This window comes from Homo sapiens, chromosome 20, assembly GCF_000001405.40.
Source record: "Homo sapiens chromosome 20, GRCh38.p14 Primary Assembly".
Taxonomy (NCBI): domain Eukaryota; kingdom Metazoa; phylum Chordata; class Mammalia; order Primates; family Hominidae; genus Homo; species Homo sapiens.
This window is the reverse complement of record NC_000020.11, coordinates 57,818,203-57,845,378: the sequence shown is the minus strand read 5'-3', so window position 1 is coordinate 57,845,378 and position 27,176 is coordinate 57,818,203. Positions and strand designations below refer to the sequence as shown.

The following is a 27,176-nucleotide window of genomic DNA, read 5'->3' as shown; positions in this document are numbered from 1 at the left end:
CAGGGGACAATTCACATGGCCAGCTTGAACCAGTCACTGTCAAGTGGAGCTGTGCTTAACTGACACCAACCTGGGAGAGTATGGCAGGAAAAGACACAACCCACTCCCCAGGTCCTCCTCCCACAGGGTGACTCAGCCTCACCTCAGGGGTTTTCCTTAGCCAGCGAGATGACCAGAGGGGCCCCAGCAAGGACAGTAGAGCCAGCCATCCTTGGGCACCACCCTGTTTTCCTTTCTTGCTCTGATACTGTGTCAGCAGCAGGCAAGACTGCCAGCTCCCGGCACAGAGCCGATGTCCCCTATGGTCAGCAAGGTGTGAGGGTGATGCGTTACGACTGTAGCAGGGAAGACGGGACTTTCTCACCCCTAGTGACTGGAGAGAGTGGCTCGCTAGTGGCTGGCTCTAAAATTTCCCTGAGCTCCAGCCCAGAAGGAAGGAGAGAGGGAAGAAAGTGAGAAAAAGAAAAAGAAAGAAGCAGATTGCCACCTTGAGAGCCGTGAGCCGGCCTGGGTGCTTGGAGGGGAGCCCCTCACTGCCCTGAGAACTCAGTCCAATCTCCTCTCCATGCTGGCAAGGCCCTGCATGTCTGGGCTCTTGCACCCCCCTGCTCCAGCTCACCCCAGACCCCTCCTGTTCTCTCCAGCCATGCTGAGCTCAGCCTTCCCACACTCCCTGGCTCTCTTCTGCCTCCCAGTCTTGGCCTAGCTGTGGCTGCAGCCTGGAGCACTCTCCCCATCCCTTTCCTCCTCTGGCCAAATTTGGTTCATCTGCTGGGTGTGAGATGCACGCTCCTTCATCCTGGAAGATGGTCCGTCCGTGCCCCACAAACCACGTGAGATGCCTCCATGCTCTCTTAGCAATGCTTGTGGTCCCTCTTGACTTGTGCCCCTGCCTCTTCACTGGCGTGTCTGCTCGTATCAAGGCACAAACTTCTTCACCTTCACAGGCTCCCCAGGTGTTCCTTCCTTCCCTTTCTTGGACAGCACCTGCTGCGCCACCCAAGTCCTCACCTTCACAAGTGGAGCTACCAGAGCACGGCATGGCCTCTGGCTTCCTGAGCAGCCTCAGAGGGCCTGGACGAGGCAAGCTGGAGAGCGTGGGAAGACACTCCCAGTGGCGTAGAATTCCTTCTGATTCTCTCTCCTGTGGATTCCTTTGAGGTGTGCCCCCCACCCCCTTTCAGCTTTCCATGGAAGCCCATGTGCCAGGTGAACACATGGCTGGGGCCCCCAGTGGGTTTCAACCCCTCTGCAAGCTCACTTGGTGCTGAAAACCTCCGTGTCTCACAGCATAAGCATCTGCAACAAAGCAACCAAAAGATGCCTGCATGGAGACCGCATGAGTCCAAGTTCCAGTTGAATTTATTTTCTGACAGCCGAGAAAGCTGTGAGGTCTGGGGAGGAAAAGTCTACAGCCACTGCCACTTACATGACCCCAGGCTACACCTTCCCTCCCCACCTCGCCTCCCTTTTCTTTCACCTCCACTGCCCTGGGCTTGCACCCCCCCCATAAATCATCAGTAGCTTAATCCTTGCCTCAGGCCCTGCTTTCTAAAGATTCCCTGCTCCTTGAGGGCAGGAACATGTCTTAACTCATTATTTTAAATCTCCAGTGACTGGAGATAAAATATTCAAGGAATGAATTAATTGATTCATTGAATTTTCATAGATCCATTTTACAGATGGGAAACAAAGACACAGAGGAAGTAAATCCAGTGACCCTCTCTTTGGACTCTCAGTCCAGAAATTGATCTAATGACTAAACCAGAGTCCTCATTCTCATATAAACAGATGGGTCACTGAGATACTCTGTACTTCTATGAAGATATTTTCTGACCCAGGAACAGCCTCACTGGAACTCAGATAGCTGGAGATAGCGGACTTTTCCTCCCCAGGTCTCACACCTTTCTCAGCTGTCAGAAAATGAATTCAATTGGAACTTGGACTCACGCAGTCTCCATGCAGGCATCTTTTGGTTGCTTTCTTACAGATGTTTATGCTGTGAGATGGAGGTTTTCAGCACCAGGTGAGCTTGGAGAGGGGTTGAAACCCTGGGTTTCAGCTGCCAGGGCTGTCCTTGAACCATGTGCCCTAAGAAAAAGCAGCAAGGACATATCTGCCCTGAAGTGTGGTGCCCAGGTGCAGGAGACTTCTCCAGATGACTGCCTGAAGTCAAGTCACCTCCATTCTGAGAGAGGTGGCCGTGAGGTCTGCCCAAGCCTAGACACAGCTAAACACAACACCTTAAAGACGGGACAAGCCTCAGAACCTCTCCAGGGGGAAGCAAATCAAATCACTCAAATGTAATGCAGATGACTTTTGCTCATCTCGCTGGTAATAACTGTGTGTTTTGTGATATTGCTTTTGTAAGTTTCCCTAGTATGCAGCACAGTCTTCCATTTGCTCAGCTGTTCCCTAATAATACAACCTAATTAAACATGATTAGTTTCCAAATTGCATTAAGCTGGAGCCCCACATATAGAGACCCTGAATCTAATTAAAGGCCACTGCAAGCATCACAGAAGCCCGCAGACATGACACCACTCCATGAGGCCTAATTGTCTGCTGGAGTTTAGACTTCAATTTTCTTGGTGATGATGAGAGAAAAAAACATACATGGCAAAAATAAAAAATCGTGTTTTTCAGTTGCAGTTTGACGACTTTAACAAATAGCTTTGCATCTTAATATAACGTGTTTCTGATAGACGTTCCAGAAAGAATGTGATTATAAAGTGCTTTGTCAGGCTTGAGAAAGGAGATGGGCCTCTACAGCTTTTCCCTACCGTAATTCAAAGTGACTTCATAACATTTAGCATGTTAAAATGAAGCAGCCACCACATTTGTGCAGAGAACAAATCAAACTAACCTTGGTCCCAAACCTCCCAGGAGCGCATGCTTAAGAATGTCTTCTGTTGGCCAGGCGCGGTGGCTCATGCCTGTAATCCCAGCACTTTGGGAGGCCGAGGCAGGTGGATCACGAGTTCAGGAGATTGCGACCATCCTGGCTAACATGGTGAAACCCCGTCTCTACTAAACATACAAAAAATTAGCCGGGCGTGGTGGCAGGTGCCTGTAGTCCCAGCTACCCGGGAGGCTGAGGCAGGAGAATGGCATGAACCTGGGAGGCAGAGGTTGCAGTGAGCCGAGATCGCGCCACGGCACTCCAGCCTGGGTGACAGAGCGAGACTCCATCTTAAATAAATAAATAAATAAATAAATAAATAAATAAATAAAAATAATGTCTTCTGTTTCTGAAACAGGGACGAAGATGGTACAAAGGAAGGAGGCTCAGGAAGCCCCAAACCCAAGGGCATCCCAATTTGTTCTAGGAGATGAACAGTGAGTGCCTGAGAACACAAAACATGACTGGAGTCATTCTCACAGCAAAAGCAAACCTGAAAAGAGATTGAATCCATATTGGTGGCTGAGCATGGGAAAAGTTTAATGGTTGTTCTAGGAAGAGAAAGCAAATGAGGCAGGGGGCGAATCCCTGCTTTTCCTGCCTAAAGTTGGATAGAATGTGCTTTATTTCCTCATTTCTCTGCTCCACTGGGTTTCCATGAGACCACCTTCCTGGCTGTCTCTTCTGTCCAGGGGTGCTGCTGCCGCCTGGCACAGAGGAAGGGGCACTGGAGACTGGCTGAGCTGGGCAGGTGCCCTGATCCACCACGCCTGTCATGCAGAGCTATGCTAGCCTTGGATCCCTCCTGGGAGAGGGCCATGTTGGTGGGAGGCCCAGCCTGGAGAGAAAGCACAGGAGCGTGGGGGCACAGGCACACTGGGGTGGGCAGCTGCTTCCAGGCCAGAAGCTGCTAGAGTTGCTGGAGACTTGCAGGCTGGACCCATGGCAGCAGAGCTGCAGCACCGAGCTCGTGAAGGTCAGCAGCGGTTTGAGCACGGAAGCTCAGCGCTCAGACCTCAGAGTTTGAACCAATGACTGGGGCTTTGGAGGCATTTGGGGACACACCCTCCATCTGCATGCTCTTGTTTGTATGATGATGTCAGTTAGACATGCTGGGGCCCCTCGGGCAGGCGGAGGGGACCTGTGTGGCCCAGCTCTAGGAGACAAACGGATGGATGCTACTTGGCCACTTGGCCACACAGCTGAGTGCTTCTTGTGGCATGAGGCCTTTCTGTGGCCCATCCATGATGAGACAAGCACAGACATTGGGGGTGCTTTTAAAAGCATGACGATGGCAGCGCCACGACCCCCAAGCATGTAGTCGGAGCTCAGCCCAGTCTGGGTGATGTCAGACTCACATAGTGGGTCGTGTGTGACGTGAGCTGCAGGGGACCCCATATGGGTGTCTGATTAGCAACACAAATCCAGCCCTTTGGCCCAGAGAGCTTGGGAAGCTGTAGCTGCCTGACCTCCCCATGAGCCGACTCAAGGCTCCCCTGAGGACACCCAGAAATGGTGGGGGAATGTGGCGCGGGGTGGGGGAGTCTGCTTTCTGTGAGCCAGGCTGCTAGTGCCCAGGGCTGCTGTCCTTTGGCATTAGATATGCACGGGATCTTCACTTGGAGCCACAGGATATGGTGAGTATCAAGGGAAAGACTGTGTGTAGCCCGGGGGTTATGTGTTCGAGCCCTGGAGCCGGGGGCTTGGCTTTGAAGCCTGCCCATGCTGCTTCTTAGCATGAGGACTCCCGGCAAGTTGCCTAGCTTCCCTGTGCCTCAGTTTCCCACCTATGAAATGGGCCTCAGTGAGTGCCTGTGGCCAGAGCCAGCAGACAGCAGGGAATCGATGCATGAGGCCCTCCACGCCCTCTGTCATCAAGTCCTTCCCCGAGGGTCTCTCTCTCCACAAAGACCACCTCCTGGGAGCGGTCTTCCTGGACCCCTGCCATCCTTTGTCACTTCTCTGCGTTATGTTTTTATTTGTGACTCTTCTGGTAGAACATGAGCTTCAGGAGAAAAGACTTCACCAGCCCTGCCTGGGGCCGCATCCTGGTGCCCAGGATTGTGGGTGTCAAGGAGGACTTTTGTGTGAATGAGTGAACAGACACTTTCACATGCCGCCCTGGCTTACCAGCAGCTATGAGCTCCCGCACGGGGGTATCTGGGCCCGTCCGCTCTCAGGTCCAGCTCTCAGGAGCAGCTCCACAGAGCCCATGGGAGGAAAGTTCAGTAGAGGCAACTCCCGCCAGCTATGCACAAGCAGACACTGTAGCTGGTGCCTCCGGAGGCGGTATGGACTGATACTGCCAAGAGTCTCTGAAATGCCTGGCTGGAAATAGGGAAAGTGGAGCCACATTGTCATCCAGCAAAAGCCAAGCTGCGGGCAGGTTTCCTCTCCTAGTTTTCATGTTTAGCCGAGCCCACCTCCCTCAGCTCACAAGCCCCAGTGGGGACAGCCTCAGCAGCAGTGGCTTCCTCTGCCTGGTCACCTCCTGGAGCCTCTGGCCTTTCCTGCTAACTGGGGATAATGAGATTGCACACACCCTCCCGTCGTCACAAGTGTGGCATGGACACTGTATGTGGCACGTGGTTCACTTGCCTTAACCAATGGCAGTCGGATGTCTGGGTTGTAGAACATGCCATCAACAGGTTCCTTCCTCTATTTAAGAAGGTGTCTCTTTGACCTCATCTCCCACCACCCTCCTGCTCATTCACTAGCTTTAACGGCTTTCAGGCCAGGGAGGGTTTCCAACCACCTTGACCTGGGGCAGGATCCAGAAGGAACATGTCCCGTGGTCAAGGTCGTCTGCCCACCGTACAGATTCTAGAGCTCATGGCTCAGTGGGGTCCCTGTGGGAGAAAGGAAACCAGAAGGAAGTCAGAAAGAGGCTGGCCTCATCTTGGCGGCTCATCTGCTGTGTGTCTCTGAGCAAGTCACATGGCTGTGCTGGGCTTCAGTTCCCTCAACAGTAAAATGGGCATAATAAGATCCATGTCATCATGGCCCCTGCTTTTATCTCTTCCCAGCTGTGTGGGCCTCAGATCGTCACTCCACAGCTCTGGGTGCCTTCCCTGGCACTGAAATGGGGTCAGAATCGTACCTATCTCAGGTTGCTACAGAGCGAATACCGTCTGCAACTCCCTGGCACTTGGTAGGTGCTAAGTAAACATCCAGTTCATCATGAGTGATAGGGGGTCGCTCAGACAAGCTGGCAGTAAGAGAAGAACAGTCCTCTGGAATAAACCCTGGGTGAGGGTGTGTATAAAAAGGGTCTTTGAAAATGGTGGCAAGGCTGAAAAACACAAAGACGAGAGAACTGGGAGGAAGGGAGAAACAAAGCACGTGTTCCCAGCTGGGACTGGGTGGATGGGAGCCAGTCCTGCATCTGACACTCTGGTGTTTGGTATCGCCGGCCTGGGGTCCAGGACCTCCTGGCTCCAAGCCACATGTTAAGTGGAGCCATCTGTCTCCTGGAAGCGTGGCAGGTAACCAAGAGAGAGACATGCGTGGACGGGGGACCCGCCTGTAGCACATTCCTCTCTCTGCCGCACTTTGAGGGGGCCGGAGAGTCTGGGGGACCAGGAAGCAGCCTAGTCTGGGAAATATTAACCGCACAGCCGCAGCTCACCAGATGGCAGACCCCACAAACGGCTTCCAGACGAGTCCTGGGCTGGAGAGCGGCCCAGTCAGAACGCCAGCTTCTGAAAGCTCCACCGCAAGAAAATGTGGGCCGCATTATGAGTGTGGCAAAAACAAGGCCGGGCAAGCTCAGGTCTCTCCTGAGTTCTGTCAGCAAAAAACCCACCAGAAATTATAGACCCGAAGCCCTTTCTTGTGGGACTGCTGAGGGCCAAGAGGGGCGGAGCAGGCTGAGAAGCAGGTTTTAATTCCAACTGTCTCTTACCAGCTGGGTGACCTTGGGCAAGTTACCTCCCCTCTCTGCACCTCAGTGTAAAAAGTGTAAAACAAAGCCAGGTGCGGTGGCTCACACCTGTAACCCCAGCACTTGGGGAGGCTGAGGCAGGAAGATTGCTTGAGCCCAGGAGCTCGAGACCAGCCTGGGCAATGTAGCGAAATCCTGTCTATACAAAAAATACAAAAATTAGCCAGATGTAGTGGCACACATCTGTGGTCCCAGCTCCTCGGGAGGCTGAGGAGGGAAGGTCGTTTGAGCTGGGGAGGTCGTTTGAGCTGTACGACTGCACTCAACCTGAGTGAGTATGAGACCCTGTCTCAAAAAAAGAGACTGAAAGTCTTCTCCAAGTGTCCCTTTCCACAATTATGAGTCTAAGCTTCCCTGATGTCTGACTTTCTGTCCTCTCGCTCTGAAACTCTGAAAGGGAGAGTGTACATAAGGACCAGCAAGGCCACGTTCGAATCCTACAGGCTTTCAAAAGCCAGGCTTGGATCCTGGGACAGCCAGGAATGTATCAGGTGCAGGTGATGAGAAGCACAGCTCAGAGCAGCCTGAGTGCAGAGGGACAGTTACAGGTTTTTGGAACATAAAGGCCAGTTGGCTTCAGGCATGGTCTATCCAGAATCTCACACAACGTCACCATCCCGCTTCCCTCTCACCCAGTTCTGTCATTCAGATGAACATGCACCTCGTGGTCGCAAATAGACCCCCCAGCAGCTCCAGGGTAACACCTGCTGCATCCCCTCAGCAGCCCTGATGGAAAGACAGCGTTCCGCCCCTGTTGGTTCCAGCGGAGCCCAAGGATTGCTTTGTATTTCCCAGCCTTGTCCACGTGGCCATCCCTGAATCAGTGGCTGAGGTTGGGCATGGATGCAGCCCCCATCACGGACGTAGACGAGAAGTCCGCTGTGTGGGCTTCCCACAGCTGCGGAACCACATGACCACACGCTTACTGGCTGAAAACAAAACGTGCTTATGATCTTGCAGACCTAGAGGCCAGTCTAGAAATCCGCAATGGGTCTCTAAAATCAAGATGTCGAGCAGACTGTGTTCCTTCTGGACACTCCAGAGGAGAATTCACATCTTATGTTCCCCACTGGTAGAGGCCCCCACGCTCCTTGCCCTGTGGCCCTTCCTCCACATTCAGAGCCTGGCCGGGCGTCTCTCACATCATATCGCTCTGTGCCGATTCTCCTGCCTCCTCTTCTACTTTGTGTTTCCAAAACCACAAAGGTTTGAGGGCCCTTGTGTTTCCACTGGGCCAATCTGCTAATCCCAGATAATCTCCCATCTCAGGGTTGACCGATAAGCGACCTGAGTTCCATCTGCAGCCTTAGTCCCCCTTGGGCCTGTAACATAACGTAGCACAGATTCTGAGGCTTAGGACATGGGCATCTTTGAGAGGCCATCCTGCTGTTGACCACACCAGCTTTGCCAGTTCTCATTCCTTTTCTCTGTAGAATGGGACAAAGGTATGGCTCGTTGAAAGGATTGTTGTAAGGCTGTAAGCAGACGGTGCACAGACAGTCCTAAGCACAGAGCCCAGCACACAGTGAGTGCTTAACAAGCAGGGGGAGCACCCGCCAGCCTCCAAATTTTTCTGCAGGCTTGCTCGGCAAGCATTTCTGAGACGCTGCAAGGTTATGTTGGAAGGGAAGTAACACAGTTTTTTTCGGTAATTAAATCATGTAAAGTAGCAACTCAACTCTGGGCCTCAAAGCCTGAGATCTCCAACATTCCTGATGCTATTTATGCTACTGCTGCTTTGACGGGTGGAGAGTACATGTTTCTACCAGACACCACTGCATGCGAGGGCTCAAGAGAGAAGGAAAGAGTCCACAGCCACCCTGGGAGGGTGGGGGCTGCTCTGTTCCAAGGACATCGGGGTTCCTGACACCTTCCCCTCCACTAACCCACCCTTCTCTCCACCATCCACCGTAGCAGCTTGAGTGTTCAAAGGTGCCTGGCATACAGTAGCTGCTCAATAAATGGTCTTCAATCTTAATGACAACGAGATGAGTAGGGAGGTTTAGTCAGGGAAGGTGCAGGGTCCCACCTGCCCTGCTCGGGCTTGGAAGTCCCGTTGGTTTTACCATGCTAGACCAGGACCTGCAGCACCCAGCCTGGGACCCAGCCGGTGCTCCGGAAATGCTGGAGAACAAAGATGCAGCCAGGAGAGGCCCCCGAGGGCAGGAAGACTAGAGTCCTAGCCCTGGCTCTAAGCCTCAGTTTCCTCACCTCCAAGTGGGAGAGATCCTTGGTGCTGGCCACGCGGGACTCTCCTTGGATGGGAAGAGCCAAGAGCAGCCTTTCTGAGCCTGGAAGACTGCCCTCGCCCTCTGCTGTCTCCCAGCCTTGCCTCTGCTGGTCTCCAGCCTGGGTCCCATGGGAACTGTTAGGGGTCAAGAGACCAGTTTTGCCAACTCTGCAAGCCCCCGGGAGCCTGAGCTCATTGTATCAATGAGGAATCTGAGGCACAGAGAGGGACAGGAACCGGCTGAAGGGCACACAGCACAGAAGACATCCGGCACTAGAGCACCAGTCCCCGTCTTCATCACCAATTACAGTGAGCAACGGAGGGCCTGCTTGCTCACCTTCCCAGACGGCAGACAAGAGAGACAGAAAGCAAAGCAGGAAGCGCCAGCTGGACCCTCAGCCCTCACGCCTTCTCCTCGAAAGCTAATTAGGGAGTTTACGATCTCATGTGCACAGTCACCGCGTTCTGACAGCTGTGTGCACCTCAGTGTGATCAAGCCCCCATCCCCGTCAACCTTGTTGTTATTGATTTGTAAGCAGCTCAATTGTCTGGGAAAAGACAGCGCGGCCGCTGGCATCTCTGGGGTCCACGGCAACGCTGCGACCCGCGGAGGTCCGGGCCTCCCAGCAGCAATCAGGCCCCTGTGGTGTCTGCTCACAAATGCAAAGTAAATGACACCCCTCATCTGGGGGAATGCGGGGGACGCCACTGTGTTGGCTGGAGCTTGGAAATAATTCTGTGTCTGAACATTTCTCAATGTCTAGACAAGAAGTATTGCCTGCCTGCCTAAAATATTAAAATTTTATACCACACTCTCTGGAGAAAGTCTTTGGTTATAAACACACAGAGCCCATTTGAGTTTTCTGTTTTTTTCTTCTTCTTCTTCAGTGTTTCTGTTTACCACCAATTTTGTGGACTGTACAGCTGGAGAGGCAGTGTGAATTTGAGGACCTGTGCACTCCCTGACCTCACTGGGTTCTAAAATGCTCTGGGTACAAGTCCTGAATTTGTCACTTAGCAGCTCTTGGGGCCCTCAGTCCCTCAGCCTCAGTTTTCACATCTGATAAATGGGTGTGATAATACCCACCTCACAAGGCTCGCTGAAGCAAGTAAACAAAATTGCCACTGTCCTGGGGTGAATTGTGTCTGCCCCAAAATTAATCCACCTGGACCTCAGAAGGTGATGTTACTTGGAGATAGAGTCATTCCAGATGTAATCAAGTGAAGATGAGGTCATAATGAATCAGGACAGGCCCTAATCCAATCTGACTGGTGTCCTTAGAAGAAGAGGAGAAACAGAGGGAAGAAGCCATGTGAGGACAGAGGCTGAGGCTGGGACGAGGTGATTGCAGGCCGGGACATGTGGTGGGCGGCCTGCAGCCAGCAGAGCCTCCAGAGGGAGTACGGCCCTGCAAGCTCCTCGAATTCAGACTTCCAGCCTCCAGAAGTGTGAAGAATCAATGTTTGCTGTGGAGCACACAGCTGTGGGCTTTGGTTCCGGCAGCCTTAGGAAACTAATGCCATTTCAGAAAAAGCACAACAATTTGCTGGGCACTCACAGAGGCAGGTGCCAATCCTCACGACAGCACTTTGAGATGGAGAAGTGGCTGCGAGCCCATTTTACAGATGGGGAAACTGAGCCCCCAACAACCCCAAGCGACTTTCCCGACTTCAGGCTCAGGAAGGCAATGGAACTGGGGGTAGGAGAAAAGCTCGGAGGGGGCTCAGAGGGGCGGACAGACTCCACTGGGTGGGGCTGAAGTGGTGGAACTCTGTCCTGAAGACCTCACAAGCTGCAGAAGGGCACACGGAAGGAGCAACAATGGCATGTGTGCGATTTGGTGGGTCCCTTCTCCCACCAAGGGCTGCTTCTCCCACCGAGGGCTCCTTCTCCCCACGAGGGCTCCTTCTCCCCATGAGGGCCCCTTTTCCCAGCAAGGGCTCCTTCTCCCAGTGAGGTTCCCTTCTCCCAGCGAGGGCTCCTTCTCCCAGTGAGGGTCCCTTCTCCCAGCAAGGGCTCCTTCTCCCCATGAGGGCCCCTTCTCCCCGTGAGGGCTCCTTCTCCCAGTGAGGGCTCCTTCTCCCAGTGAGGGTCCCTTCTCCCAGCGAGGGCTCCTTCTCCCCACGAGGGCTCCTTCTCCCCGTGAGGGCCCCTTTTCCCAGCAAGGGTTCCTTCTCCCAGTGAGGGTCCCTTCTCCCAGCGAGGGCTCCTTCTCCCAGTGAGGGCTCCTTCTCCCCACAAGGGCTCCTTCTCCCCGTGAGGGCCCCTTCTCCCAGCGAGGGCTCCTTCTCCCAGCGAGGGCCCCTTCTCCCAGTGAGGGTCCATTCTCCCACCGAGGGCTCCTTCTCCCACCGAGGGCTCCTTCTACCCGTGAGGGCTCCTTCTCCCCACGAGGGCTCCTTCTCCCAGCGAGGGCCCCTTCTCCCAGTGAGGGTCCATTCTCCCACCGAGGGCTCCTTCTACCCGTGAGGGCTCCTTCTCCCCACGAGGGCTCCTTCTCCCCATGAGGGCCCCTTTTCCCAGCAAGGGCTCCTTCTCCCAGCGAGGGCCCCTTCTCCCAGCGAGGACTCCTTCTCCCAGCGAGGGCTCCTTCTCCCAGTGAGGGTCCATTCTCCCACCGAGGGCTTCTTCCCCCCACGAGGGCTCCTTCTCCCCGTGAGGACCCCTTTTCCCAGCGAGGGCCCCTTCTCCCAGCGAGGGCTCCTTCCTGACAGGCTCCCTCCTCTCTGTAGGCTGGTGGGAGAGGGGAGACACCCTAGCTTCTCCCTCAACAGCTGGGGCCCAGCGCCCTCCTCAGGGACCCCCAACCTGAAGGGAGAAGCTCAGGGCTGGTACCTGCAGGGACCCCTGAAGACCACATGGATAGGTAGAGAGGCAAGCAGGAGGGCACCGCCCAGAAACAGGCCTCCTTAGGAACAGAAGGACAGGCCTCCTTAGGAAGCTCGGGGACACCCAGTCCCCAGCCACCTGCAAAGGACCTCCCAAATTGCCTGCAAAGGCCCTGCCAGTCACAATAGCCCCTGCTGGGCACAGAGCTGCTCCAAGGGACATGCACGCTGGGGAGTGGATTCATCCCAAGACCTACTCTGAACAGGATGTCCCAGCCCTCCTCACCAATAGGAGTCACAGGGGGGCACTGGGGACCTGCAGCCAGAGACCCCGCACATCCAGCTGAATCTTCCAAATCCTCTACAGCCCCACATCCAACCCCACTGACCGCCTGCTTGGAGATTGTGCCATAGTCCTTGGCACTGTTATTTACCTCATATTCTCAGTTCAATCACCACTCCCCTCTCTCTTTAACTTAAATATACCCCTTTCAAGGAGACTCTGTTGACTGGACTTGAAATGCCAGGGGTGTATTTTTTTCCTGTTTCATATTAAAACAAATGATAACAGGCCTGGCTCAGTGGCTCATGCCTGTAATCTCAGCACTTTGGGAGGCCAAAGTGAGTGGACCACTTGAGGTCAGGAGTTTGAGACCAGCCTGGCCTACATGGTGAAACCCTGTCTCTACTAAAAGTACAAAAAATTAGCCGGGTGTGGTGGCATGCACCTGTAATCCCAGCTACTCGGGAGGCTGAGGTAGAAGAATCACTTGAACCTGGGAGGCGGAGGTTGCAGTGAGCCAAGACCAGCCACTGCACTCCAGCCTGAGCGACCTGGTGACAGAGCGAGACTCTAGCTCACAAAAAAAAAAAAAAAAAAAAAAGAGATAGAAAGAAAAAAAAAGATAACAACACAGAAATGATTTGTTCTTTCATCACTTGAAGGCACCCCCATTCACCATCTTTTGGGAGCTGCAGACACACAGCACCCCAAAATGTATTACAGGTGTGGAAACTGAGGCCAGCGAAGCCAAGGGCTTGACCTTCATCACAGAACACCCAGCGGTAGAGCCAGCGTCCCTGGGCTCACCCCAGCCTCCTTCCTGCTTCACCACCTGGTGGCCTTTCCCTTGCCTCCCACAGTGAGTGAGGCCAGGAGCAGCTTGAGCACGGCTGAGCCCCGCGCTCCCTCTACCATCACCACTGCACATAGTAGGTGCTGTGTCAGAGTTTATTAATTCCAATGGCTGAATAGACTGAGAGTTATGCAAGGACAGGGACTGGTCTGTCCTGTTCCCAGCTGTCTCCCAGGGAAGACTGCCTAAAATACTGCCTGGCACACAGTAGGTGCTTTGCCAGTGGTCAATTGCTCAATCCCATCGAGGGTGAGCTGTGTGGGAATGGGGCTGGCCTACTTCTTTTGCTCCTGTCTCCACGGTGCCCAGACACTGCCTGGCACATTGTCATTGCCCTAGAAAGATTCATTGAACAATGCAATGAATGATTGAAGAGGGAAAGTCGTCTAAATGGCCATTTGACATAGTTTGGACTAAAAATCTGCTTGTCTGAATCCATCTGGCCATTAAGCAAAATTCAATCCAACCCACACAGGCAGAGCAACCATAGAGGGGCAGGAATTGCTATAAATAGTTCCCTGTGCTGACATCTCGTCCAGAGGCCAATCGTCAAGCTAAAATTAAGTGGCACTGTTGTCCCAGAGCCTTTTCAGGTCTCCCACAGGGAATTAGCCCCTGGGCAGGACTGGGGCCATCTTGCACCCCCAGGGGTGCCAGCCTTCTCCCCTGAATCAGGTTGAGAATCTTTGGGGCCGAGGGGAACCCTGGGGCTCCCACCGTCTCACCGGCTGAGAAAACCCCAGTGTATACAGGAGGTGAAAATTCATGCTCTGAGGAACTCCCACACCAAAGGCCCCTGTGCCGGGCTGTCCAGGTGACCCACAAAAGTGACATGGATCCAAGGAGCCCACTGCAAGGCCAGCTGCTCCTCAGCTGGGCTGGGGTGGTGGGAGCCGGCCATCCGCCCTCCCTAGGGAGTACACAGCTTAGTCAGTGCAGCCCAGACTGCCATGGCTTCTGGGTTCAGAGCTCCTCATCATTGATCTCCTTCTGGGCTCTTGCAGCATCTGTCCAGACTTCAAAATCCCCATCCTTCTTTGACAGTTGTGGAAACTGAGGCCTAGGATGGTTTAAGAATTCAGTGCCTTCGACGAGCTTTCACCCGATACAGATCTCGCCCTCACTGCCGTCTTACAGGTTAGGTTAGATTCACAGGCGAGAAAACCAGCTGAGAAAGGTTGGGGAAGCTGCCCAGGGTCACACAGCTTGGGTTCAAACCCACAGTTGCCTGGTACCAAAACCCACACTCAGAATAGGGCATCCCTCCCTCTTCCAGCCCAGTGTGATTTTGAACCACACTCGCTTGTCTGGAGTGAGCACCTACTGTGTGCAGGCACAGGGTTTTGTGCCCTCCACAACTCTCATGCCATCTTTCCTGCAGCCATTTAAGGCATCTGTCCCTTCCTGTTATGGGTTGAACTGTGTCCCTCAAACATGTTTACATCTGAACCCCCAGTGCCTCATAAGGAACCCTACGTGGAAATAGGGTGTCTGTCAGGGTTTCCAGGTGAGAGTCGCATTTAAGTTGGTGGGCAGGGTCACACAGATGGCACTCCCCAGGGTGGGTGGGCCTCATCCTGCCCAGCGAGGGTCTGAATGGAACAGAAGGCAGAGAGGAAGGAGGAATCCGCCCTCTCTGCCTGACCACTGGGGCAAGATGTTGTTTTCTGCCCTCAATGCTCCTGGTCCTCTGGCCCTCGGACCGCGGCTGGAATCGACACCATCAGCTCTTCAGCTCTCAGGCCTTCCAACTGCGCCACCAACTTCCCTGGGTCTCCAGCGTGCAGATGGCCGGTTGTGAGACTTCACCTCCATCGTCATGTGAGCCAGACAAGTAAATACACAAATCCCATTCTGTTTCTCTGCAGAACCCTGACTAAGACAGAGGCCCTTGAGCTCAGTTAGTCAGAAGCCGAATGCAATCCCAGCGCTGCTCCTCACTAGCAGGGTCTATGGGGCAGCAGGTGTGAGCCAGGCCCTCCCCTGGCCCCACCTGTACCAGGCCCCAGCCATGTGCAGTTGGCTGTGGCTGGGATCCCGAGTCTGCGGGTCAGCTGGGTGGTTCTTCTCATTGCAGCAGGGCCAGTCCGCAACTACAGCCAGCGGAGTGACAGGTAGCAGGGGTGCACTGCAGTGCCTTTGGATGGGAGGGCCTCTGCCCCCTACTCTCTTCCCTTAACAAGCACTCATTGAGCCATCAGCCTGATACAGCAGGTGCACAATAAGTGCTTGTTAAAGGAAGAGGGGAGGGAGCAGAGACCTGCATCTGTATCAGACACAGACAGGGTTCTTCAGAGAAACAGAACTGACAGGATGTGTACACAAAAGAGATTCATCCGAAAGGGCTGGTTCACATGATTGTGGAGGCTTCATCCTGAGAGCTGCTGTTGGTAAGCCAGAGACCCAGGAGAGCCGAGAGGGTGGTTCCTGTCAAAGGCTGGCAGGCTCACAACCCAGGAAGAGCCACCGTTTCAGTTTGAGTCTCCAGGCAGGCAAAAGCTGGTGACAGTGGGAGGAATTTGCTCTTATTTGGGAAAGGGTCAACATTTTTGCTCCATTCAACTTTCAGGTCATTGGACGAAGCCTACCCACATTAGGGAAGGTAGCCGGCTCTACACGGTCTATTCAAATGTTAGACTTACCCAGAAACGCTCTCACAGAAACATCCAGAACGCTTAACCAAATACCTGGGTATCCTGTGGCCCAGTCAAGTTGACACATAACATTAAGCATCACACTTACTGTGTGCAGAACGTTGGCCTGGGTGGAGGAGGGACGGGATGGGGGTACTGGATCCATGGCTGTGAGACCCTGAGTGCAGGAGGCTCAACAGCCTCATCTGACACTGGCCCCAGCATCCAGCCCAGAGCCTGACACTGGCAGCCTCTCAGTAACTATTTCTTACATGAAATTCTTAAAGATTTAAAAGAATATGCCCCAAAATAGTAACAGTATTTAGGTACTGGAATTATAAGCAACTTATATAAGCAATATATAAGCAATTTATTCTACTTTTGGCTTATATGTACCTCTTGACTTTTTACAAGGAATATATATTACTTGTCTAGCTTAAAATGTAATTTTAAAAAATTTTTTCAAGTAAGGAAAACCTCATGTAAATTGTGAATCTACAGTCTGAAGGCTTGGGAGCCGGGGCCACACTGGAGAGGAATTTGTGAAAATAGCAGCTGCGGACCTGCCCTGCCCTGCCCTGCCCTGCCCTGCCCCTCAGGACCACTTTCACCAGGAACCTGCAAGGACTGCCTCCTCCGGAAGCCCAGAGCTGCACCCACCCCTTCTCTTCTCTGGATCTCAGTTCTCTCCTGCTGAACTGACGGAGCAGAGGTCCTGCCTGGATGCTGCGCCTTCATCTTTCAGGCAGTTCCCATGCCTGGGGCTGTCCAGCGGCCCCTGTGCTGCCCTACAGGAGCACTGTCAGTTTCCTTTGGGTTGGGGGTTTCTCAGGACGTAGCCATGAATCTGAGTAACATAACCCTGCCCACTACCCAGCCCAAACAGGGGCTATAGAGGGGCCTCAGCCCCCAGCACTGTCCCTGGTGGGTGGCGGGCACTTGGCGACTCTGTTGAACCGTGGGCAACTGAGAGGGAACTGACATGTCACCCGTTCTCACCGTCATTTTCACACCAATCCCATGTCATTGCACCCCAGCTCTGGGAGTTGACATTAACATCCCCACTGTCCAGACAAGGAGGCCAAAGCCGACAAGGTTAAAAACTTGCTCAAGCTCCGAATGCTTATAAGGCCAAGGCCAAGACTCAGCCCCAAGTCAAAAAGACTCCAGGCAGAGCTGGGTGGGGTGAATTTCATGAACCACCTTTATATTCCAATGCCATGCTCTTGCTTGCTTCAGAGGGGCAGGTCTGTATTCCTTGAGTAAAACCACTTCTAGGGAGAAAGTAGGAAAAGAAGGAGGGAGAGAGGAAGACACCAGTCATTCCTATTTTCTCAACAGATTGTAACTACAACCTTTCATTCTTGATTAACTCGGTCTTCACAACCCATGAAAAACAACAGAAGTTTTTTTGGTACACCCCAAAACCAACTTTTAAGTTGGTGGGAGGTATGTTGTCAGGCAAATAGGAAATTGCAAAAAAGAATGGACAGTGTGATACTTCATTGTAAAACTAACCATTTCTAGAATACCTAGGACTCGATGGTCTGTATGAAGAACTTCCTGGAAAGCATGTTACAAACTTTTAATGGCAATTAATTTGTGGGAACTAAGGAGGCAGGATGTTTTTGCTTTCTAAATGATACATTCTTTTGTCCCTGAATTTTGTATGATAAGCCCAATAAAAGCAATCAATCAATAAATGAATAAAGTTACAGCCTGGTAGAGGCCCTGCTTGGAAAAACATCCTGTTGTCTGTCTTCCTGCTGTTATAAGCCCAACCAAATCTGAGCTCAGGCAGACACTTCTTCATTGTCCACAGCGGACATCCCTGGCTGCCCACTCTCCATCCCCTTCCCCATCCCCCAGCCTGTCAGGGCCTCAAATTTCCCATGTGCATATATTTCCCAGACAAAATATAGAACATCCAGTTAAATTTGAATTTAAATAAACAACAATTAATTTAAATATATTTAGACTGAGAGCTATCTTTACATATAGCTGAACTGACGGAGCAGAGGACCTGCCTGGGTGCCTGGCAGTTCATTCTCAATATACATAAATGTAAATATTTTTATATTTTTCTTTCTTTTTTTTTTTTTTTTGAGATGGAGTCTCAGTATGTCACCCAGGCTGGAGTGCAGTGGTGCAATCTCCGCTCACTGCAACCTCTGCCTCCCGGGTTCAAGCAATTCTCCTGCCTCAGCCTCCCAAGTAGCTGGGAGTACAGGCACCCGCCACCACACCTGGCTAATTTTTTGTATTTTTAGTAGAAATGGGGTTTCACCATGTTGGCCAGGCTGGTCTCAAACTCCTGACCTCAGGTGATCTGCCCGCCTCGACCTCCCAAAGTGCTGGGATTACAGGCGTGAGCCACCACTCCTGGCCATATTTTTCATTTATAGTTGGGAAATACTAAAAACTCTCATGCTAAAAAGTTCTTCATTATTTATCAAAAATCTGAAGTTTAACCGGGGACCCTGCACTTTTATTTGCTAAACCTGGCCACCCTAGTTGAGTGAGGCCCAAGCACTCTTTGGGGATGCCCTGACCAACCCAGCTATGCAGCCCACCCGTCCTAGACACAGGCACGGCTTCCAGAGTGGACCCACGGCCCTTGTCAGCGGGACTCAGTTCTGGGACCTTGATTTGAGCTCTCTGGGGAGTGACGTTTCTCTTTTCTACCAATTTGAGATCTGGAAGCAGACAGTTGACAAGGGGCATTTGCTGACATCTTGGGGCCAAGAGAGGAGGCGATCGGAGGATGAAATCAACACAATGGAAGCAGAATGGAGAGGTGAGGGGGAGCTTTCTGGCCAGATGGCTGGAGCTGCTAAATCCAGCCTTATCTGAAACCACATACGCTTTTCACTTTCCAGTTACAGCAGGCTCCAACTCCCTTCGTTATTAAAGCCAGTTCAAGCTGAGTTTTCTGTTGCAACCAAGCTGGCCAACCTAGCTCGTGCATGGAGCAGTGAATCCCAGGCTTCCTAATGAAGATGTGTCCCGGGCATACAACCATTGAGTCCCCAGATGCTCAGCAGGCTTCTTCAGCAACAAAGCATCTACTCCAGAGGCCTCTGCGATTTGAGCTTTCTTGTTTGGGCTTGACTGACCTTGGAGGTCTGCACTTGGGAACACATACGGCCCCATTCAACCCAAGAGTTCTACCAAGATGTAGTCTTTGCTATGTCTGCGGTGATTTATCTTCTCGAGGAATTTCCTCACCTGAACATGGTTCAGGGCGTAAACTCCAGGGCAGACAGCATGAGAAACACATTATGGAGCCTGATAAAACATCAGAAGTGAGGAGCAAGAGGAAACATGCCTTATTGGTTCAGACACACAGAGCCAGGAGGCTGCTGGCCAGGGAAGGCATTCTCATTTCTGGAATTCTTTGGGAGCTGAACAATGAAACAGAAATTAGGAGGAACTCAACTGACCCAAATGAAAAGCGGACCAGAGAGGAGCCCTCGCCATGAACTGAAACTGACGTAAATCTAACCAGCGCTGCACCTCCACCTGGGCCATGAATCTAACCAGCACCGAACCTCGACCTGGCTGTTCTTGTCTTTTCTTTTTCTGGTTCCATGTCTTGGCAGGATCCCAGACAAGACTGAGAGGAGCTAGCTTCGGTGCAAGAAGAGAATCAGTCTCCTGCCTGGAGAGGCCACGCACGTTCTTTGGCATGAAAAAGATGTTTATTTCCAGGGTAGGAAGAAACAGTGGCCGCCTGAGTGGAGCTTGATTTTCTGAAGCAGGGGTCTAGGACAGGGCCCTCTGTCTTTTCCACTGCATGCTGGGGCACGCTCCTCTTTCACAAGGGGCCACCAAACCAACTGATGAAGAACATCCATGTTTTCTCATATTCTCCTATTTTAAAAATATAAATGCATCACACGCTTGTCAAATAACCAAAATATGTCAAATAGCCAAAAATAAATAAGTCAAATAACCAAAAAATGCACAAACAGTGGATATAGCCCATCCCACTACCAGTCTCGCACACCCCTATTCATGCCTGTTTTCTGCTCCTACGAACAGACCTGCAGACCTCACAAAGTGTAATCATACGGTAAGCACTACTCAAAACTTGCTGCTTTCCACCAAAAACCCACAGTGGCATCTCTCCAGATCTATTCGTGTGGCTCTAACTTATGATTTTTCGTAGCAACAAATATTCCTCAATACAGGTGGACCAACATGTTCCTTATCAATCACACTTACGTTGTTTCTCGTTTTGTTGTTTTGACCACAGACAACGCTGCAATCGCCATCTGTGTGTGCAGATGTGAGTCCAGATATTTAACAACTGTACTTGGCCCAGGTCTAACCATCAGACGGAGGCTGGCCTTCAACATCTGGGAGGCAGAACCAGCAAGCTGTAAGAGAATCCTAGTCCTCAACGGAGGAACTTGGATTAAGTGCCACGCTTTCATCCTTTTAAGATGGATTTGTACAAATGGGATTGCTGGGTTAATGTAATGGATGTGCACTTTTAATATGAATTCCCAGAAAAAAAAATATATATATATACATCGAATGAGGATACACAAGTCTTACACTGATCTCTGCGTGAAAGAACTTTGGGCTGAGTCAGCTGAATGCCTCAGCACATGTCAGGTGCCTTAGGCTGGGTATACGAATCAAGAAGAAACTTTCTTTGCAAAGACAGATGGCATATTCAATATACAGAAGACAGCAAGGCCTTTGAAGTAAAGAGTCCCACTTAGTAGCCACCCACATGCCACCAACCAGGGGGAGCCCAGGGACTGAGGAGGCCCTCAGACACGCTGTGTGACTCGACTGTACCAGCCCAGGAAGTACACTGAGGACAATCCTAAGTTTGTCATAGTTAAAGGTGCTTATGGTCTTTTGATCCTTTCCGATAAAAGGCTAAAAACTCCAGTACACAGTCATGTGCCACTTAACGCTAGGGATACGTTCTGAGAAATGCATCATTAGGTGATTCTGTTATGCGAACATCATAGAGCGTACTTACCCAAACCTAGATGCTGTGTATATTTTTCTTTATATATGGTCCTGTGCTGCTTAGTAATGTTTTGGTTAACAATGGACTGCATATATGGTGGTGGTCCCATAAGATTACAATGAAGTTGAAAAATTCCTGTCCTAGAGATGATCCCTGAGAAATTGGCTAATGAGGAGTTGTTGAAACTAGAACAAGAATGCACAGCTGAAGAAGAGGCAAAAGAAAGAAGGAAAAGAAGAGGCAGGTGCAGTGGCTTACGCCTGCAATACCAACACTTTGGGAGGCCGAGGTAGGAGGACTGCTTGAGCACAGGAGTTGAGACCAAACTGGACAGCATAGTGAGACCTTGTCTCTACAAAACAAAAAAAATTAAAAGATCACCTGGGCGTGGTGGAAACTGTATCCCTGACTACTCAGGAGGCTAAGGCGGGAGGATCACTTGAGCCTGGGAGGTCAAGGTTGCAGTGAGCCATGATTGCACCACTGTACTCCAGCCTGGGCAACAGAATAAAACACTGTTTCAAAAAAAAAAAAAAAAAAGAGAGAGAGAGAAAGAAAAAGAAGAGGATCCTCAAGAAAATTCACAGTGAAGGGTTTAGCAGCAGCTTTCACAGTCTTCAAAATTTCCTTACAAAATCTGAAAACATAGATCCCAGCGTCAAAAGGTTTTCAGTAATAGGGACGAATATTCATGACACATTACCTGCTTATGAGCAGATTTATGATGAAAAAAAGACATAAACTAAGAAAACCATCATGGACTTATTTCTGGAAAGAGTGTCACCTCCCAAGAAGAGGCTCAGGCAGGTCCTTCAGCAGGTATCCAGAAGAAGGCATTGTTTTCATAGGAGATGACAGCTCAATGGGCGTTATTGCCCCAGAAGACCTTCTAGTGAGACAGACATGGAGGTGGAAGACAGTGGTATTGACAATCCTGACCCTGTGTAAGGCCTAACCTAGTGTTTCTGTGTCTTCATTTTTAACAAAAAAGTTAACAGTAAATAAGTAAATTTTAAAATAGAAAAAAGCTTATGGAATAAGGGTATAAAGAAAGAAAATATTTGTTACAGCTCTATAATGTGTGTTTCAAGCTAAGTGTTATTAAAACGGAGTCAAAAAGTTTATAAAAATTCAAAAGTTTATAACGTAAAAAAGTTACAGTAAGCTAAGGTTAATTTATTATTGAAGAAACAAGAATGTTAAAAGTAAATTTAGGCCGGGCACTGGTGGCTCACACTTGCAATCCCAGCACTTTGGGAGGCCAAGGCAGGTGTATCACCTGAGCTCAGCAGTTCAAGACCAGCCTAGCCAACACAGCAAAACCCTGTCTCTACTAGGAATACAAAAATTAGCTGGGCATGGTGGCACCTGCCTGTAATCCTAGATACTTGGGAGGCTGAGGCAGGAGAATCACTTGAACCCAGGAGGTGGAGGTTGCAGTGAGCCAAGATTGCACCACTGCACTTTAGCCTGGGCAAAAAGAGTGAAACTCTGTCTCAAAAAAAAAAAACAAAAAAAAAGTAAATTTAGTGTAGCCTAAGTGTACGACGTTCATTCATCAAGTCTAGAGCAGTGCACCTTCATGTCCTGGGCCTTCACATTCACTCACCTCAGCCTCACTCACTGACTCACCCAGAGCAACTTCCAGTCTCCAGTCCTGCAAGCTCTGTTCATGGGAAGTGCACTATACAGGTGGACCATATTTTATCTTTTATATCTCTTCTTTTTTTTACTGTACCTTGTCTATATTGAGGTATGCCTAGATAGACAAGTACTCACCCTTGTGTTATAATGACTTATTCAGTACAGTCACGTACTGTACAGGTTCATAGCCTAGGAGCCATAGGCTACACAAAATAGCCTAGGTGTATAGTAGGCTGTACCATCTAGGGCTGCGTCAGTAACTCTATGATATTGCCACAAGGTTGGAATCACCCAAGGACACATTTCTCAGAACAGATCCCTGCCATTAAACAACATGTAACTGTTTTTTTTTTTCCACATGGAAAACCAAATGCCCAAGCACTATTACGAATATCAATCATTTCCCTTACTTGATCTGCAATGCCAGTAGCAAGTGCCATGTACCAGGTTTCTATATCCACTCTGCTATGATCTTACGGAACCACCGTCACATGCAGCTGTCATCAGCTGAAACGTTGTTACGCAGTGCAGGACTGACAGGATTTAAGAGCATACAGTAAACCCAAGAAAGGTGGGAAGCACTATCCTAGACCAGCCCTCTATGATAGAAATACAATGCTAGCCATATTTTAAATTACCTAATAATCGCCTTAAAAAAACAAAATAAGAACTAAGAAACAGGTGAAATTAATTTTAATAATATATGTAATTTAACCCAATATATTCAAAAGATTATCATTTCAACATGTAAGCAAATTATCAACATTTTCATTTCTTTTTTATATTGTCTTCAACATCCATTGTGTATTTTACACTGGCCGTACAGCTCCATTCAGACCCAGCTGTATTTCAGACCCATTTCAGCTCCATTAGGACCCAACTGTAGCCATTTGTGATAAGCGGCTGCCGGACAGGAAAGTGTGGGTTTAGAAGATTTCGGGGGTGGAGACAACCACATTCCTGCTTTCAGGGCACACAGACTAAGCAACTCTGCAGTGTGCATGAACTGCACAGGCTCTGGGCACAAGAAGAAAAAGATGCCATCCCTGCCTCCCAGATGTTCATTGTGTAGTGGGAAGATGGGCAAGTGACCCACCCAGCACCCACTTAAAAATTTCCACAGTGGGATGAAAGTTCTGCACCATCCCAAAATGTCAGTTATTGGAGAGGCTTTTTCCTACAGGGAATAAAAATTAGCCTCGCTGTACTTTTCAGCCACTGAAACTGGTTCTGCCTGTTGGAGGCCACAAGGAATAAACCTACTCCTTCCTCCCCATGGATAGTCCCTCGTATTCATTCAGCATTCATTTGCTCACCCAATTTTAATTGAGCACCTACAATGTGCCAAGCTCTGCACAAGGTGCTGGGGATACTACAGCCATGAACAAAAGAGACACAGTCCCTGCCCCCGCGAGCTCCCAGGTGAATGGGGCAAATATGCAAATAAACATGCAAATAAAGAGGGCTGGGGAGGCTTAAGGAGGGGCACCTAACCTGATCCGGGGGTCTGGAGGCTTGCCAGAGCAAACGCTTGTGATAAGACTAGGGAGAGAACTTTGGGTAGGGGGAGGCCTGTCGTGTTGGAAGGTGGTGGCAGAAGGGTGGGACCAGGCAGAGGGGACAGCAGGTGCTAAGACCCCGGGATGAAAGACGGCCTCTGGAGGACCCGTGAGTTCTTCCAGATGACAACTGTGGAACTGCAGAAGGAAGAGAGTCAGGATGAGGTGGAGGGTGTTGACAGATCTCAAGGTGGGGGCCGCGTGTAGCCTGCTAAGGAATCTGGATGTTCTTGATTGTACCCCAAGAGCACTGAGGAATGCTCGCAGTGAGTACCAAGCCTTTATAGAGCCTACCCCCAGGCTTCTCCTTCTCCAACCCCATTCTCTCCGTTGTCCTGCAAACACCAAGGTGTCTGGACCCCTGGGCTTCTGGGTGCTTTGGTTGGCACAGAGCAGCCTCCCAGCCCCAGGCTCCTCAACCAGGGTCTGGGGGAGACAATGGGCTGTGCAGATCACACAGAAGGAGGCCCCCCCATGCTGCAGCAGCTCCTTCCCAGGCTCCCCCTTCCACCCCTGCCCTCTGCAATCCATCCCTACAGACCCACTCCCTCCCACACTAGGGATCTTCTTAACAGCGAATGGCTATTCCCTTTCCCCTTCCCCTTCCCATCACCCTTGGAGTAAATTCCAAGCCCCCCTTTCCTCCAGCCTTTTGAGACGTTTCCTACACCAAGGTCTCTGAAGGCACTGTTCCCTCTGCCTCTGCCTAAGATGCTCTTCCCGACCCCTACCCTTGCAGGCTGGTCCCCAAGAGCTTTCTGACATCACCGAGCTGGCACCTCCTCGGGAGGACTTTCCTGGCCGCCCTAAACAAAGGAAGCCTTGGTGGGATGGATTGTAATCTGTCATTACTCTGTATGTGTTTGTATGTTCTTACACACACATGCACATGAACACGCATGTCCATGTACACACACATGCACATGCACATGGTCAACAGGCCATGAGCCTCTTGCCCACGCTTGCAGCCCCAGCATCTGGACCAGCACCTCGCACAGGAGAGGCATCCGGCAGATGTGTGCTGAATGAATAAATACTCAAACCTCTCAGAGTCAAATGTTCTTCATCTGTAAAACAGGAATCATGGGATCTCCCTCCTCAGGGTTTTCCAGAGAACTAACTGGGATACTTTATGTGAAGCTCCTGGAGTCACACGTGGAGAATAGCCATGGGCAGGTGACCATCAGCCTCTGACCCCATCATGACACTTGAGAGCAGATATTCTGGATCCAAACTGCCCAGAATCACATCCTGTTTCCTCCTAGTTCCTGGTTCCTGGTGACCCTGGGCAGGCTGCTCACCTGGTGGCCTCAGGCACGCTGCATTTTGTCTTCACATAGCACCAGCCTCCCAGGCCTCCCATGGGATGCAGAGAGTGAATCCAAGCAAATTGCCCTGCATGGGACTGGGGGAGGGCAGGGCTGTAGAAATCGTAGCTGCTCTGATGAAGCCTCCTTCTACCTGGTTCAGCAGCAATTCCCTGAAAAGTAGAGCTGGAGGCAAAGCTATACACTACTTCATCCAGGAGTGCAGCCCAAGGGAAGCCAGCCTGAGGGGTGAGGGACGTGAAGCAAAGAAGGAGGGAGAGCAGACAAGGGGCACATGTCCCAGCTGGCCACAGCTGGTCAAGGAAACCCAGCTGGCTGCTCAGTGAGGCAGGATGTCCTGTGAGATGCTGTGCAGAGCCACCACATCCTGGACTGGCCTGCCCAGCAAGGAGATGGAGTGACCTGTCTACTGGTTCCTTCTTGTCTCCTATCTTGCTTTGCTTGATATTCTGCCTGTAGGGTGTTGACTTCTCTCCCCACACTCTTAGGGTGTGCTGTGCTGCCCCTTGGGATGGCCCCAGGATGGCCACCAGAGCATCTAAAGTTCCCCTCCACGTAAATTCGTGCACCAGAGCAGCCGTGATCACACACGAGCGTGTGATGTGGGCTGTGCGGAAGCCCTACCCTCATCTGAGTGGAGGCTGAGGTGTGGGGCTGAGAAGACAGCAGAGGCAGCCGGCGCTTGACGACCTCAGGGACGGGGTGATCCACTGCTGGGGAAGGCAGCTGAGCAAAAGTGGGGCCATGCACAGCCTGGAAGGACATGTGGACTGGCACACATGCCCTTCTACCAGATGTCCTGTGGCTGGGTGCATGCCCCATTCCACCACCCCACCATCTTTGTGGCAGGCAAGGTGATCGAACCTTCTGCAATAACATTGCTGTAACAAATAAATAAATTAGCACTCCAAAAGCTCTTAAAGCAGTAAGAGACACATAAGAAGCACCACAGAAATAATTGTAAATAAGTCAATAAGTCTAGACATTTTAAGAGAAAATGGCACCACGCATGGTTTCTGCATTATGTCTTGTCATTTGGTTCATTTAAATTTTCTTTGGCCAGAGACACACAGATAACTGCTCCCTTTCCCTCCCATAACCCTCGGCTGGGGAGAGAAGTGTGGGAGGGGAATGGTGTGGAGAGAGCTGGGCCAGCCCCTGGGGTCCCCCTGTCCTACTTAAGGGTCGGTCTCCTGCCTCACTTGATTGCATCTGCTCCCACCCTCTCTCTGTCACTGTGGCCGCAGCCGTGACTGCTTCATTCCTCCAGAGTCAGAACCAGTGCTGAAAGCGTCATTTAAAAATAAAATAAAACGGGAACTCATTTATGCTGAGACTATGCTATTTTCCCAAGTTGCCTACGGGACAGAGCAATAAAAAATTTATCCTTAATAGCATTTTGCAGGATTTTGCCACAGGAGATGTTCTCCCCACCGGAGTTTGGAATGATTCCTGTCTGCGTTACATCCCCAGCCCTCAGTCATGCCAGCCCCCAACCTCCCTTCTCCCTCATCGGAGACTTTGCAGCCAGCCTGCCTTTTCCTCATCCTGCCTCCGCCCAGAGAGATGTCTGGATGCTGGTCACTCCACCCATGAAACTCATCTCCAGGAAGGGGAAGAGGAAAAACAGGCAGCCCTGTCATCAACTTCCCCTCCCTTTCTCCATGTCTCATCTGTAGATAAAAAGCTTGTGTCAGAAGACAGAACAGTAAAAGAGAACCCAAGCAGCCAGTAACTTAATTTTATAAAAACCAACATGATAAGAGATGTTAAAAATTGAGGGGAGCACAGGGGGTAGCAAAGCAAGCTCCGGACAATATATAATACAGCAATCACACTTATGCATTTAAAAATCAATATATAATTATTAATTTATGTTATGTAAATGCAGCGAGAAATCTGTAAGAAACACTTCAAACTTTTAACAGTGGTTCCTCCAGAGAGGAGCATGAAATCAGAAACTGAAAAAAGCAGATAAG

General features: G+C 50.9%; 2 annotated features.

The window, feature by feature from the left end:
- Positions 8,861 to 9,521: an enhancer, noted in NCBI's record as "H3K4me1 hESC enhancer chr20:56410914-56411574 (GRCh37/hg19 assembly coordinates)". NCBI's record gives its function as "activates a minimal SCP1, AML or CMV promoter by ChIP-STARR-seq in naive H9 embryonic stem cells {active_cell/tissue: H9 hESC(naive)}" and the evidence as "EXISTENCE:reporter gene assay evidence [ECO:0000049][PMID:30033119]".
- Positions 9,522 to 10,183: an enhancer, noted in NCBI's record as "H3K4me1 hESC enhancer chr20:56410252-56410913 (GRCh37/hg19 assembly coordinates)". NCBI's record gives its function as "activates a minimal SCP1, AML or CMV promoter by ChIP-STARR-seq in primed H9 embryonic stem cells {active_cell/tissue: H9 hESC(primed)}" and the evidence as "EXISTENCE:reporter gene assay evidence [ECO:0000049][PMID:30033119]".